At 44.7% G+C, this 13,614-nt stretch overlaps 1 protein-coding gene and 1 long non-coding RNA gene across 2 annotated transcripts in view; both read right to left on the bottom strand.

Annotated features, from left to right (window-relative positions):
* Window positions 1-13,614, bottom strand: part of MOCOS (molybdenum cofactor sulfurase) — an 84,661-nt gene that overhangs the window by 69,321 nt on the left and 1,726 nt on the right. Inside the window, exons 2-4 of the mRNA NM_017947.4 lie at window positions 7,491-7,580; window positions 4,081-4,147; window positions 2,513-3,154 (exon numbers count right to left, since the gene is read on the bottom strand). Of these exons, the coding sequence (NP_060417.4) occupies window positions 2,513-3,154; window positions 4,081-4,147; window positions 7,491-7,580 (799 nt within the window). The remainder of the gene's footprint in view (window positions 1-2,512; window positions 3,155-4,080; window positions 4,148-7,490; window positions 7,581-13,614) is intronic.
* On the bottom strand, window positions 8,530-11,715 carry LOC124904286 (uncharacterized). Its single transcript, XR_007066343.1, has 2 exons — window positions 11,634-11,715; window positions 8,530-9,370 (listed from the first exon to the last, which is right to left on the bottom strand). It is a non-coding gene; the product is annotated as an uncharacterized LOC124904286 (long non-coding RNA).

The following is a 13,614-nucleotide window of genomic DNA, read 5'->3' as shown; positions in this document are numbered from 1 at the left end:
TTCCCCTGGGCTCTTCTCTGTCTCTCCTGCTGCCTTGTGAAGAAAGTGCCTGCTTCCCTTTCCGCCATGATTGTAAGTTTCCTGAGGCCTCTCCAGCAATGCAGAACTGTGAGCCAATTAAACCTCCTTTGTTTATAAATTACCCAGTCTTGGGTAGTATCTTTATAACAGTGTGAAATTGGACTAATACCGCTGTAATCTATTAATACCTTCCCTCTGCTGTCTTATAAAACATTGCTCTCCCCTTCAGGATGGGGGCACTTTGTACACCAAGACCTGTCCAGCTGCCTCTGGCCCTGACCCACTCTGCAGTTTTCTTGGGCTGCTCTAAATTTCCTAGGGTGGCCAGGTGCAGTGGCTCATGCCTGTTATCTCAACACTTTGGGAGGCCCAGGTGGGAGGATCACTTGAGGCCAAGAGTTTGAAACTACCTGCCTGTGCAACACCCCATCTCTACAAAAAGCAAGACCCCATCTCTAGATAGCAAGACCCCATCTCTACAAAAAAATTTGTTAAACTAGCCAGTTATTGATTGACAATTATTTATTGATCAAATACTTAATAGATTTCTTAAAATAAAAGTTTTTTGTTTCTGTCAAGGGATGTACTTCGCTGAGTTATAAAATAAAGTTGAGAACATAGTCAAGGTATTTATTCAATAAACCTTTAGGTTGAGTATTAAATCTATTGAGTTCTAGTCCTAAGTTCACAAGAAAAAAATTGGCTTATAATGGTAAATAAATAAATTCAGCTTTCTGGGAATGTTGGCGTGTCATCTGTTGTAAAGTCATCTACCTGAATCAAAGGAAAGAGGTCTGATCCCCCCCAGCCCATTCATGCCCTGGCCCCCAGTGAGCTGCCCCACTTCTCCTGGCCTTCAGGTGCCCTTATTGGCCAAATTAAATTTGAGGTGTCGCTTTGTTCTGCCTGTAACTTACATTATGTTATGCCTGTCATTCTTTTCTCATTTGATTCTGTTACATGGTAAATTATCACACTTGGAGTCAAGAGGTTTTACATGAGCATTCCTGTTTTAGAAGCCCCCCAACTATGGACAAGTCCTAAATAAAAGAGGCATCAAATAGCCTCCTAACATTGATCCCTACCATTCTGATACTTCACCCATGTTAGCTCTAAAAGGACAATATTATCATTTCTTTTTTTTTTTTTTTTGGAGATGGAGTCTTGCTCTGTCACCAGGGCTAGAGTGCAGTGGGTATGATCTTGACTCATTGCAACGTCTGCCTCCTGGGCTCAAGCAATTCTCCTGCCTCAATCTCTTGAGCAGCTGAGATTACAAGCACCCACCACCACACTCAGCTAATTTTTGTGTTTTTAGTAGAGACGGAGTTTCACCATGTTGGGCAGGCTGGTCTCGAACTCCTGACCTCATGATCCACCCACCTTGGCCTCCCAAAGTGCTGGGATTACAGGTGTGAGCCACCACACCCGACCCAATATTATCATTTCTACTTTACAGAAAAAACATGAGGTGCAGAGAACAAGTCACATGTCCCCTCGCTGGTGTGCAGTGGAGCGGGGACTCATTCCCCAGTGGTCCAGCCTGAGGCTTACACAGCTAACACTGACTCTATCGTCAAGGCCATGGCCCTACGTGCAGGACCCTTGCGTCTGTGTGGGGTCTGTTGGGGATCTAAAGCCCTTCCCGTCTATGCCCCAGGCCTTCTCCGGACCCTGGAGGTGATTAGTTGCCTACCCAACCCTGTGTCCCCACTGTTGACCCAGCAGAACCCTGGATCAGCCACCATTTTCAGCCTTGACACACTCGACCTTACAGGTCCCAGCTGTTACCATTTGAAAGAGTCCTGAGCATAACCCACACCACCTGCCCTTGCAGCCTGGGGATGATGCATATGCCAACAACCCAGGCAGAGGCCTCTGGCATTTGAGGGCAAGTGACAACCTGCACCCAGACTCCCTCTGTAACTCACTCACAGTGGGGCTCATAGAGGTTGCCGCTAACACTGCCTCACAAGTCTGGGGGCCTCTGCTTTAACTGATTCCTCCTGCTAACTAGGTGCCAGGCTGAGCTGATCCTAGCTCCTGGAGAACCAGCTATGCTGTCAATGTGTGGGCAGACTTTTTCCAAATGGTGCCACCTTTTAAAGCCACTGGGTGCCACCTTTTAAGGCCACTGTTTCAACTGTTGCAACCTCTTGTCAGTGCTGAGGGCAGAGGCCTGGTAGCTCACCCTCCTTACCCCATGAGGGCCTTTTATCTCTCCTGTGTGCAGTTCTTATCTGCAGGCCCCAGTCCTCTCACAGCTCTGGAGAAGCCTCTCAAATGGGGGTAGAGTTCACTGAACACCTGTGTCACCTCCAGTCAACTTCTGCCTCCCAGATCTGAGCCCTGCCATCAGCCTGTCCCTGCCAGCAACCTGAATTCTGCTGACCCTCAAAGCCAGACCCACCTCTTGCATAATCCTCCAGGAGAAACAGGCCAGACCCCACCTTGCTGAACTCCTCTGACCCCTCCCCTGTGGCAAGGTTACCTCTGAGCTACCGACTGCCTCGGGATGTAGAAGTCTTCTCCTGCTAGGTACGCAGAGGCTGTCCCTCCTCCAAAGTAGGTCTTCCTCAGTAGAGGAGCCGCACGATTATGGACCAGCAGAGCGCCCAGGCCTGTAGGAAACCCGAAGATCTTATAGAAGGAGATGGGGACAAAGTCGGCCTGGTGAGCTGACAGGTCCAAAGGCGAGGTGCTCACGTAGGAGGCTGCATCCAGCAGCACAAACCACTTCCCAGGCGTGCTCACAGGGTGCAACCGCCCAGACTTGACCTCTTCTATCCAGGACAGGGGGTATCTGACTCCAGAAAAGTTACTCTGAGCTGGGTAGCAGAAGAGATGCGGCAGCTGGCAGTCTGGGTTGCTGGCTGAAGCACTACGTTCCTCTGCAGACCACAGGTCCTCTGGCCTGACCGGGGTGGATATGACATTTATAGCCATGGTCACGTTCCGCATACCCACTACGGAGGTGTGGCTGTCGGTGAGGTAACAGAAGCGACTCCCACTGCTCTCTGGGCCCTGGGACACCCATGGAAAGGCCTCTGCCACCAGTTTGAGAGCAGCCGTGCTCCCGGCAGTGAAGATCACAGTGTAGTCTTCTGCGGTGGTGTGGAAGTGCGCCAGGATTCTGGAAGAAGCACAGCATCCCCGCAACCCGCGGATCTCAGCCCCAGCACTGAATGTTTGCAGGCTGTTTTATTTCTATTAACTATGACATCTCTACCTTAATGGATAGATAGGTTTGCCACAGCTGCGAAATTAGGGCGAGGGCAATGGAAGCCGTGGGAACGAGTTCCAGTTGGCAAAATCCTCTTACCTCCCAAATATCACTGGATATCTCCAATTGGATATGTATGACAAAAAATCCACAATAAACTTAATCAGAGTTGATACTACTTTCTCTCCTTGGTGCTTTCTGCTCAGCTCTAACATAACAAGGTTTAAGTAGTAATCAACCTGTTTACATTGCTTTTAGTTTTGGCAACTCTAATAGCAAAACAGTATCACTTTCACATTTGAACTAACTTGAAATTGTGTGATTGGAAATTGTGTTAATAATTTTAAGGACAACCTGGAAATTATTTGCCAGATACTGTTATGTTTAGAAAGTATAGAGAGCTGTTTAACATACAAATACTAGTAAAAAAGGGGGGAAAAGGGAAAAAAGACAGGAAGAAAACAAGTTGCCTAATAAAACTTCTTATGAAAAGGAAAACCAGAGAAATAGTACTTTTCTTCTTTCTGAAAACAAGACCTAGGATCCTGGGTCACTTCCTGTCACTTTGGCACTGCAGAGTCTCTGGAGCCACACAGAACAGCTGTGTGCACCTCAGAGCCACCTACCTGTGTGTCTCATCTGCCCCACACTGCATCTACTCACCGCTGCCTTTCTGAGCTCTGACTCTGATGTTTCTCAACATACATGCATTGCCTTTTAGCCAACTGTGATCCTCCTGAAACCAACTCAGAACTTTTGTGGGATGCAGGCAAGTCCTAGGAAGGAAGTCTGTCTGCCTAGGTATGCCCAGTCAGGCAGGTGTCCCTGATGCTTACCTGTAGCGCACCTGCTCCACAGTGTCATGGGTGAGCTTGCTGCTGATGTTCTGGCTGTGAGGATTACCTGGCAGGTTACAAAGACAAGGCCACCAAGTCACTACTTAGGGTCGCTTCTTTTGTGTTCCTTCTGAATCCACTCCCTCAGTTTCTCAAAAAGCTCAACATAAAACTACCATATCACCTAACAATTCCACTCCTAGATTTCTATCCCTCAAAAATGAAAACTTATGTCCATACAGACTTGCATGGGAATGTTCGTAGCTTTATTCAGAAAGTCAAATTCTGGAAACAATATAAATGTCCATCAATGGGTGAACAGATAAACAAAATATGCTACATCCATAAAATAAAAAGTGATTTGGTTTTTTGTTCTGTCTTGCTCCATCACCCAGGATGGAGGGCAGTGGCATGATCATAGGTCACTGCAGCCTCAAACTCCTGGGCTCAAGCGATCCTCCCATCTCAGCCTCCTAACTGTGACTACAGGTGTGCACAACTACACCTGGCTAACTTTTTAAAATTACTTTTTGTAGAGATGAGGTCTCACTGTGCTGCCCAGGCTGGTCTTGAACTCTTAGGTTCAAGCAATCTTCCTGCCTCAGCCTCCCCAAGTGCTAGGATTGCAGGCATGAGCCACTGTGCCCAGCCAGGGAAGTTATTTGCCAATAAAAAGGAACAAACTACTGGCTATGCCATGAAAGAACTTCAAAAGCATGATAAATGAAATACTCCAGACACAAGAATATACATAATGCATGAATCAATTTACATTAAATGTCCAGCAAAAGAATTGTAGAGATACAGAAAGTAGTAGATTAGCAATTGCCTGGGGGTAAGGTCAGCAACAAGGATTAGCTGTAATGGGCATGAAGGATCTTTTCAGGGGAATGAAAACATCTAACTGATTTATAGTGATGATTGCATCACTAGGTCAATCACTAAAAAATCATCATTGGACACCTGAAATAGATTTTTTTTAAGAGAGACACAATCTTACTCTATCACCCAGGCTGGAGTACAGTGGCTGATCATAGCTCACTATAACCTTGAATTCCTGGGCTCAAGGGCTCCTCCTGCCTCAGCCTCCTGAATAGCTAGCACAACAGGCATGTGCCACCACACCTGGCTGATTTTTTAAAATTTTTGTTTTTTGTAAAGATAGGCTCTTGCTATGTTGCCCAGGGTTGTCTTGAACTCCTGGGCTCAAGCAATCCTCCTACCTTGACCTACCAAAGCACTGGGATTATAGGCCTGAGACACTGTACCCAGCTGGTAAATTTTATGATATAGTTAAAAAAAAAAATCTCTCCTCACTAGTAAAACCAAATGTGATCGGGAAGAGTATTTTAGAGCTGGAAGTCAGCTCAGAAGCAGGCCAGTGCAAGAGTCTGTTCTACATGTTCCAGACAGGTGGCTGTGGCTCTGTTTAACTCCAGAGAATGCAGTATACAGCCTCAGGAGGATGCCCTTTTCTCCAAGCATGAAGCAGAGCCATGAACGCCACTTAATCTAAGTCCCCACGTATTGCCCTGCAGATCCCACCACCACTGCTGATGCCTTTCCTGCAGAAATAATTGATCCCGGCCTCCAAATATGTGAAGGGGGCCACTGTGCTGCCCTTAGCCATCCACTTTCAAGGAGGAAGGCCCTCCTCCCAATGTCACTCTTCCTCTTAACTTCTAGTTTTGCTCCCTTCCTGGTGTCCTCACCAAATGTGTCCCAGAGTATCATGACCTCCCTCAAACTTAACCCCCAGACAGGCTTTGGTAGGGCCTGACCTATAAGACCAGGCACCAGCATTTCTCAGGAGCTACATGTGCTCATTAACGCAGAATTTGCCCTTTAGTTTTAGACTTTTTTTTTCCTCCAAAATACACTGAAAGATTGCACTGGATTTCTGGCCACTGCAGCTACCATATGTTCTGTTTCCACATTGCTAGTAACCTGTGGGACCTGGTAATTATCCTCATTGCCTTTCCTCTGCTTGGCTTTAGCGCTGCATCATTACCACCACCTGCAATCTCAACTCTGCCATCTCTCAGGCTTTCCCACGGTTATGGCTCTTGCAAAGGTTAAAGAAGGAGAATTACAAGAACCTTTGCAAACTGCAGATTAAAATCAGGATAAATCCCTCCTTGGCACCTTCCCAGAAGACTGTTCCCCAGATTTAAATATCTGCTGGCTGCCCAGAGCCAAAATCCAAACCCCTTAATGTGGCATAACAGAAGTATCCTGAATCGAGGCACTCTGGTGGAGGCTAAGGGCTTGGGCTCTGGAGCTAAACTGCCTGCAAACACAGCTTCTAGCTCCTCCAAGCTCCAGTCCTTCCTGTGCAGCCTCAGGCTAGTTACTTGCCCTCTCTGGGGCCCCATTTCTTCACCTATAAAACAGGAGTGATACCAGAACCTATGCCTCTTGGGTTGTTGTGAGGCTGAAGAGAGAAAGCTCATAGCGAGTACCTGATAAATGTTACTTATCGTTATTCTCATCACAAATATTACAATTGCTACTGCCACTATGATTTCAAGTTCCCTTTCCAAAGTATGTGAGATCATGTTGTGCTGCAAATAAATGCCACTGATGACAATGCCATTGCTCCTAGAACAAAGATCAAGCATCTACAATGCCCTGCACTGGCTTCTTCTCCCTCCCTCCCCATTCAGACCTCTCCCACTCTTCTCCCTTCCGTGTTCCTGGACTGGTTCCTGAAACCACTATGGGATCTTGGCTCAGGCTGTTACCCTGCCTGCTCGCACTTCTCCCCCTCTTGTCTGAGTGAATTCTGGCTCATCCTCCAGCATCCACTCCACTCCAAAGGAAGCTTTCCCTAGACATGCACAAGCCAACCCCACTGTCACTGCAGATACAGGCTGGCCTGGAACCAGGCACCTTTTGTCCATAGTCCTTCACACAGTTGGTAATCACATCTATTTGGAGTTCACTTAAGGTCTTGTCTTCCAGGACTAGATCACAGTGTCCAAGAAGAAAGGGATATGTTTATTTTGTTCCCATTATAGCACTGTCCCCCACACATCATAGTGGCTCAATGAACAGTTATAGAGTGAATGACTGAATTAACATCCCTCCTGCTGCCCCACTCTCTGCACTATACAGGGTCACTCACCACCACCAAATACAGCACCTTTGAATCTCTGTGCCCTTCCTAACACTGGCCTCTTCTTCTGGTAGTAACCTGTGTGTCTGTCCCTGAGCCAGCTCCCTCCATCCCGGCCACATGTTTACAGTACAGAATGACCCAGGGTGCTTGCCTGGCCCCTATCTTACATGGGGCTTATTCAGCTTTTTGTGGTCAGAATATTCCTGGCCTATTAATCCAGCGTTTAACATGCACAGGTATATCAGCTGCATGTAGTTGACTAAAACCTGTTTCAGGTGTTTTTCTTTACCATAAGTGTTTTCCATGAGATCACTAGTGAAGCTTTCGAGCTGGCTCTGGGAGAACAAGGTGGCACCTGCATGGTCAAGATAGACAGTTCCTGAAAGAAAACACAAAATAAATACTAAAATTTTACCTGAATCTGGTTTGTGTAAGCCCAACCAATGTCATCTAATGCATGCAGACGTAACATCAGGCCACTGACTTGTGCCTCTTGATATGTGCCTCTTAATCCAAGTGTAGGCATGAGCAGTGGAAGGACTGCACTTCTAATGCTGAAGGACTTTTAAAGCACTGAGAGAGCCCTCCTGATTAATCAGCTCTCTTCACTCTTTTGTGAACCTGGAACAGCATCCCACACAGAGAAGACGCCCAGCAGACATTCGTGATGAATGATGGCAAAGCTGTTTCACATTGTCACTCACAACCTATTCTGGAGGTTCTGGGAGGAGTCCCTGAGGGGAGAGCCCTGATCCTACTTTCCCACACTGCTCTGCACCCCTCAACACTAATGCAGCTGCAGAGCTTCCAAGAATACAAGGAATGCAAATGATCCATCCAACCTCTCTCTGAGAGAAATGCAAATTTAGATGAAAATGAGATACCGCGGATTACTGATCAGATTGGCAGAGATCAGTGGTTGGATTCCTCACTGTGTGAATGAAGCTGTGGCGAAACAAGCTCACTGGTACACGGCTGGTAGGAGGGTACACAGGTACACCTTTATGCTCAGCAATTTGGCAACATCAGTTCATGCTTTAAAATGTACACACCCTTTGACCTAGCAATTCCACTTGCAGGAATTCATCTTACAAATACCCACACTTTTGTGGAATGACCTGAATATAAGGCTATTCGACGAACTATTGCCTGCAATAGCAAAAGATTGGAAACAACTTAAATATCCATCAATGCGCTTTTAAAATAAACATTGTACACTAATAATAAGTACTGACATGAAACAAACTCTGAGATACACTTTCAAGTACATATAATGTGAAGAGATCCATTCATTCACTTATCAAATATTTTGTTTTGTGTAGAATGGGTTGTTTTATCACAGCTTTATTGAGATATAACATAAAATTCACTCTCTTAAAGTATACAATTCAGTGGTTTTTAACATATTCATAAAATTACATAAATACCAATTTTAGAATATTTTCATTCATTCCCAAAAGAAATCCCATATCATTACCAATCACTCCCCAATGCCTCCAACCCCAGCCCTTGATAACCACTAATCTACTTTCTGCTTCTCTAGATTTGCCTGTTCTGAACATTTCATGTAAAAGGAACCATACAATATGTGGCCTTTAGTGTCTGACTTCTTTAATTTAGCATAATGTTTTCAAGGTACGTCCACATTTTAGCATGTATCAGAACTTCATTCCTGTTATGGCAGAATAGTATTCCATTGTATGAATATACCACATTTTATCCATTCATCTACTGAGGAATATTTGGATTGTTTCCACTTTTGTGTATTATAAATGATTGCTGGTATGAATACTGGTGTACAAGTTTTTGTGTGGATGTGTTTTCTCTCATTTGGTGGGTTGTCCTTTCACTTTCTTGATGGTGTTCATTGAAACATACAAGTTCTTTTTAAGTTTGATAAAATCCAATTTGTCTATTTATGTTGTTGCATTTTTGGTGTCATAAGAAATTATTGTCTAATTCAACAAGGTCCTAGTGATTTATGCTTATATATTACTCTAAGAATATTATACTTTTAGCTGTTTCATATTTAGGTATTTGATCCATTGAGTTAATTTTTGAATGCAGAATGAGGTAGGGGTCCAAGTTCGTTCTTTTGCATGTTGATATCCAGTTGTCCCAATATCACTTATTGAAGAAGTTATTTCCCTCGTTGAATAGTCTTGGTATCTGTTGAAAATCAATTGACCATAGACATATGGGTTTATTAAATTAAAATTATATTTCATTTGTCTATATGTGTATACTTATGCCAATATCACACTGTCCTCATTCTGTAACTTTTTTTTTTTTTTTTTTTTTTTTTTTTTTTTTTTTTTGAGACGGAGTCTCGCTCTGTCGCCCAGGCCGGACTGCGGACTGCAGTGGCGCAATCTCGGCTCACTGCAAGCTCCGCTTCCCGGGTTCACACCATTCTCCTGCCTCAGCCTCCCGAGTAGCTGGGACTACAGGCGCCCGCCACCGCGCCCGGCTAATTTTTTGTATTTTTAGTAGAGACGGGGTTTCGCCTTGTTAGCCAGGATGGTCTCGATCTCCTGACCTCATGATCCACCCGCCTCAGCCTCCCAAAGTGCTGGGATTACAGGCGTGAGCCACCGCGCCCGGCCCATTCTGTAACTTTGTAGTAAGTTTTGAAACTGCAAAGTGTGATTCCTCTAACTTTGATCTTCTTTTTCAAGATTGCTTTGAGGTCAGGTGTGGTGGCACACACTGTAATCTCAGCACTTGGGGAAGCTGAGGTGAGTGGATCATCTGAGGTCAGGAGTTCAAGACCAGCCTGGCCAACATGGTGAAACCCCATCTCTACTACAAATACAAAAATTAGCCAGGCGGTAATGGCGTGCGCCTGTAATCCCAGCTACTTGGGAGGCTGAGGCAGGATAATCACTTGAGCCTGGGAGGTGGAGATTGCAGTGAGCTGAGATTGCACCACTGTACTCCAGTCTTTGTGACAGAGTGAGACTCTGACTCAAAAAATAAAATAAAACGATTGCTTTGGCTATTCTGAGTCACTTGCATTTCTATATAAATTTTAGAATCAGCTTGTCAACTTCTGCAAAAAGGCAGCTGGGATTTTGATAGGCATTTCATTGAATCTGTATATTAATTTGGGGATTATTGCCATGTTAACAATATTAAGTCTTCCAACCCATCAGTACAGGATATCTTTCCATTTATTTAGGTCTTCTTTAATTTCTTTCAATGATGTTTTACAATTTTCAGTGTATGTGATACTTCTTTTGATAAATTTTTTTCTGTGTATTTTATTATTTTTGATGCCTTCGGAATTGTTTTTCTAATTTCATTTTCATAGTATCTATTGCCAATGTATAGAAATTGAACTGATGTTTGCATATTGATCTTGTATCCTACCACTTGGCTAAATTTGTTTTTAAATTCCAATAGTTTTGTGTGTGGATTCCTTGAAATTTTTTATACACAAAATTACATTATTGGCAAGTAGAGATAGTTTTACTTCTTTCCAATCTGGATCCCTTCTATTTTGTTTTCTTGCCTAATTGCCCTGGCTAGAGCCTTCAGTACAATGTTGAATAGAAATGGTGAGAACAGGCACTTTTGTCTTGTTTCAAACTCAGGATGAAAGTTTTCAGTCTTTCACCACTAAGTATGATGTTAGCTGTGGGGGGTTTTGCAGATGACCTTTATCAGTTGGTTAACTTTTCCTTCATTCCTAGTTTATTGAGTGTATTTGCATTCAAGAAATATTTATTGAGCACCTACTATGTGTCAGGCATTGTTCTAAGTGCTGGAGACACAGCAATGAACAAAATAGAAGATAGCATGATAATGGCAGAGAAAGACCTTAAACACAAACTATGTCAAGTGGTGAGACATATGGCTCACATGTGTGTGTGTGTGTGTGTGCACACGTATTTTAAGTGTACTGGACACAGTGACTCATATCTATAATCCCAGGATTTTGGGAGGCCAAGGCAGGATTGCTTGAGGCCAGGAATTTGAGACCAGCATAAGCAACATGTGAGACCCCATCTCTATAGAAATAAATAGCCAGGCATGGTGGTGCACACCTGTAGTCCCAGCTACTTGGGAGGCTGAGGCAAGAGGATAGCTTAAGCCCAAGAGGTCAAGGCGGCAGTGAGCTATGATCATGCCACTGCATTCCAGCCTGGGTGACAGAGCAAGTCCCCGTCTCAAAAAGTGTGCACATGCACACATAAATATGGACAACCACTGGAAAGATACACAAGACATGAGTGACAGCAATTGACTCTGAGGTAGACACAGTGGCTGCAGCTGGCGTGAGAGGGAGGCTCCCTGGTGATTCTTCACCCTCCTTTGGCAACTTTTGAATCTGATACCACTAAATGTTGTATCAGTCCATTCTCACATTGCTATAAAGAACTACCTGAGACTGGGTAGTTTATAAAGAAAAGAGGTTTAATTGACTCACAGTTGCACAGGCTGTATAGGAGTCATGGCTGGGGAGGCCTCAGGAAACTTTACAATCTTGGTGGAAAGCGAAGCAAGCACATCTTCATATGGTGACAGGAGAGACAGAGAGAGACAGAGAGAGAGAAGGTGCTTGTGAAGGGGCAGGTGCTACACACTTTTTTTTCTTTTTCTTTTTTTTTTTGAGAGATAGGGTCTTGCTCTGCCACCCAGGCTAGAGTGCAGGGGCTCAATCTTGGCTCACTGCAACCTCCACCTCCCAGGTTCAGCCTCCCAAATAGCTGGGATTACAGGCATGTGCCACCACACCGGGCTAATTTTTTTATATTTTTAGTAGAGACTGGGTTTTGCCATGTTGGCCAGGCTGGCCTCCCAAAGTGCTGGGATTACAGGTATGAGCCACTGCACCTGGCCAAAGAAAGTTTTTTTGTTTTGTTTTGTTTTTTTGTTTTTTTTGAGACAGGGTCTCACTCTGTTGCCCAGACTGGAGTGAAGTGGTGCAATCTCAGCTCACTGCAGCTCTGACTTTCCAGGCTCAAGCAATTCTCCCACCTCAGCCTCCACAGTAGCTGGGACTTTAGGCATGAGCTACCATGCCTGCCTAATTTTTGTATATTTTGTAGAGACGGGGTTTCACCATGTTGCCCAGGCTGGTCTTGAACTCCTGGGCTCAAGTGATCTGCCCACCTCAGCCTCCCAAGTGCTAGGATTACAGGCTTGAGCCACCATACCCAGTTTGTGCTACACACTTTAAACAACCGGATCTTGTGAGAACGCACCCTCACGAGAACTGCAAGGGGGAAATCCACCCCCTTGATCCAATCACCTCCTACCAGGTCCCTCCCCCAACACTGGGAATTACAATTCAACACGAGATTTAGGTGGGGACACAGAGCCAAACCATATCAAATGTATGAGCTAGTCCAAAAAGATACTTTTAAAACAATGTTCGCTTTTACTAAAGATTCAGAAATACAAAGGTACCAAACCAAAAGAAAGGCTTTTGTTCACCCAGGCATCAAGGCCACAGGTGAGACCTGGAAGCTGCTGGGGAGCATCTCACACTGTGCCACAGTCTTCTGGAGGGCCAAGTAGCTATTGGAGAAGAAGATGCTTTGGCTTTTGGTCCAATGGTTAATTTTGCAGGAAAAACAAAAGGGTGGGAAAGCTGTGTTAAATCACCCATAGATGTGATGTTAGGAGAAAGTCAGGCAGCATAGGGGTTAACAGTACAAAATCCAAGTCAATCAACCCAGACTTGAATCCTGGCTCCACCAGTAGCCATTCTGGGCCCCTGTTCTTTCATCTGCAGATGGGACAAAGGTTAAATGAGCTGCTATATGGCAGCATCCAGTCCAATGCTCGGGACACAGGTGTAGCTGTTATTAGAAACAGGTGAATTACCCCAAAGTTAAATGGCATCAGACCTTCTTCAGGAAAGAGAATTCCAGGGTCAGCTCTAGGTCATCCCCCTCCAGTTCTCTTTCCAGCATGGTGAGTGGTCATGATTCAGCACGAAGGCTTCCAGAGACCCTTGACACACATCCGTATATTCAATACTCTCCCTTCACAAAGGCAAGGAAGTTCCCATCCAAATCTTTAGGTAACACATTTCAGCACTTAAATCTTAAGCATTTAATTATTCTGAGCCACCACTTAACCAGAGTAATTCTCAAATTGGCAGAAAAACTTCATGAGGGGAGAGGAGGAACGAGGAAGAGGTGATGTTATTTTGGTTTGTTTTTTCCCGCCCTCTCTCTGTCTTGTTTCTAGGAGAAAAACAAGTGGACATGTTCCAAGACTCCCAGCAGTGGGAGGGGCGTCAGATTAGTGCACAAATGTCTGCTTTAACCGTAATGTAGAGGAAATACAAGGAACTTGCATTAAATAAAAGATGCCCACAACACTACCAGACATACAGTAAGTGGTAACGAGTTCTGAGGGCCAGCCTGGCTGACACATCCCAATTTTGCATTTGAGGG

Source organism: Homo sapiens, chromosome 18 (genome assembly GCF_000001405.40).
Source record: "Homo sapiens chromosome 18, GRCh38.p14 Primary Assembly".
Taxonomy (NCBI): domain Eukaryota; kingdom Metazoa; phylum Chordata; class Mammalia; order Primates; family Hominidae; genus Homo; species Homo sapiens.
This window is presented reverse-complemented; position numbering and strand designations above follow the sequence as displayed.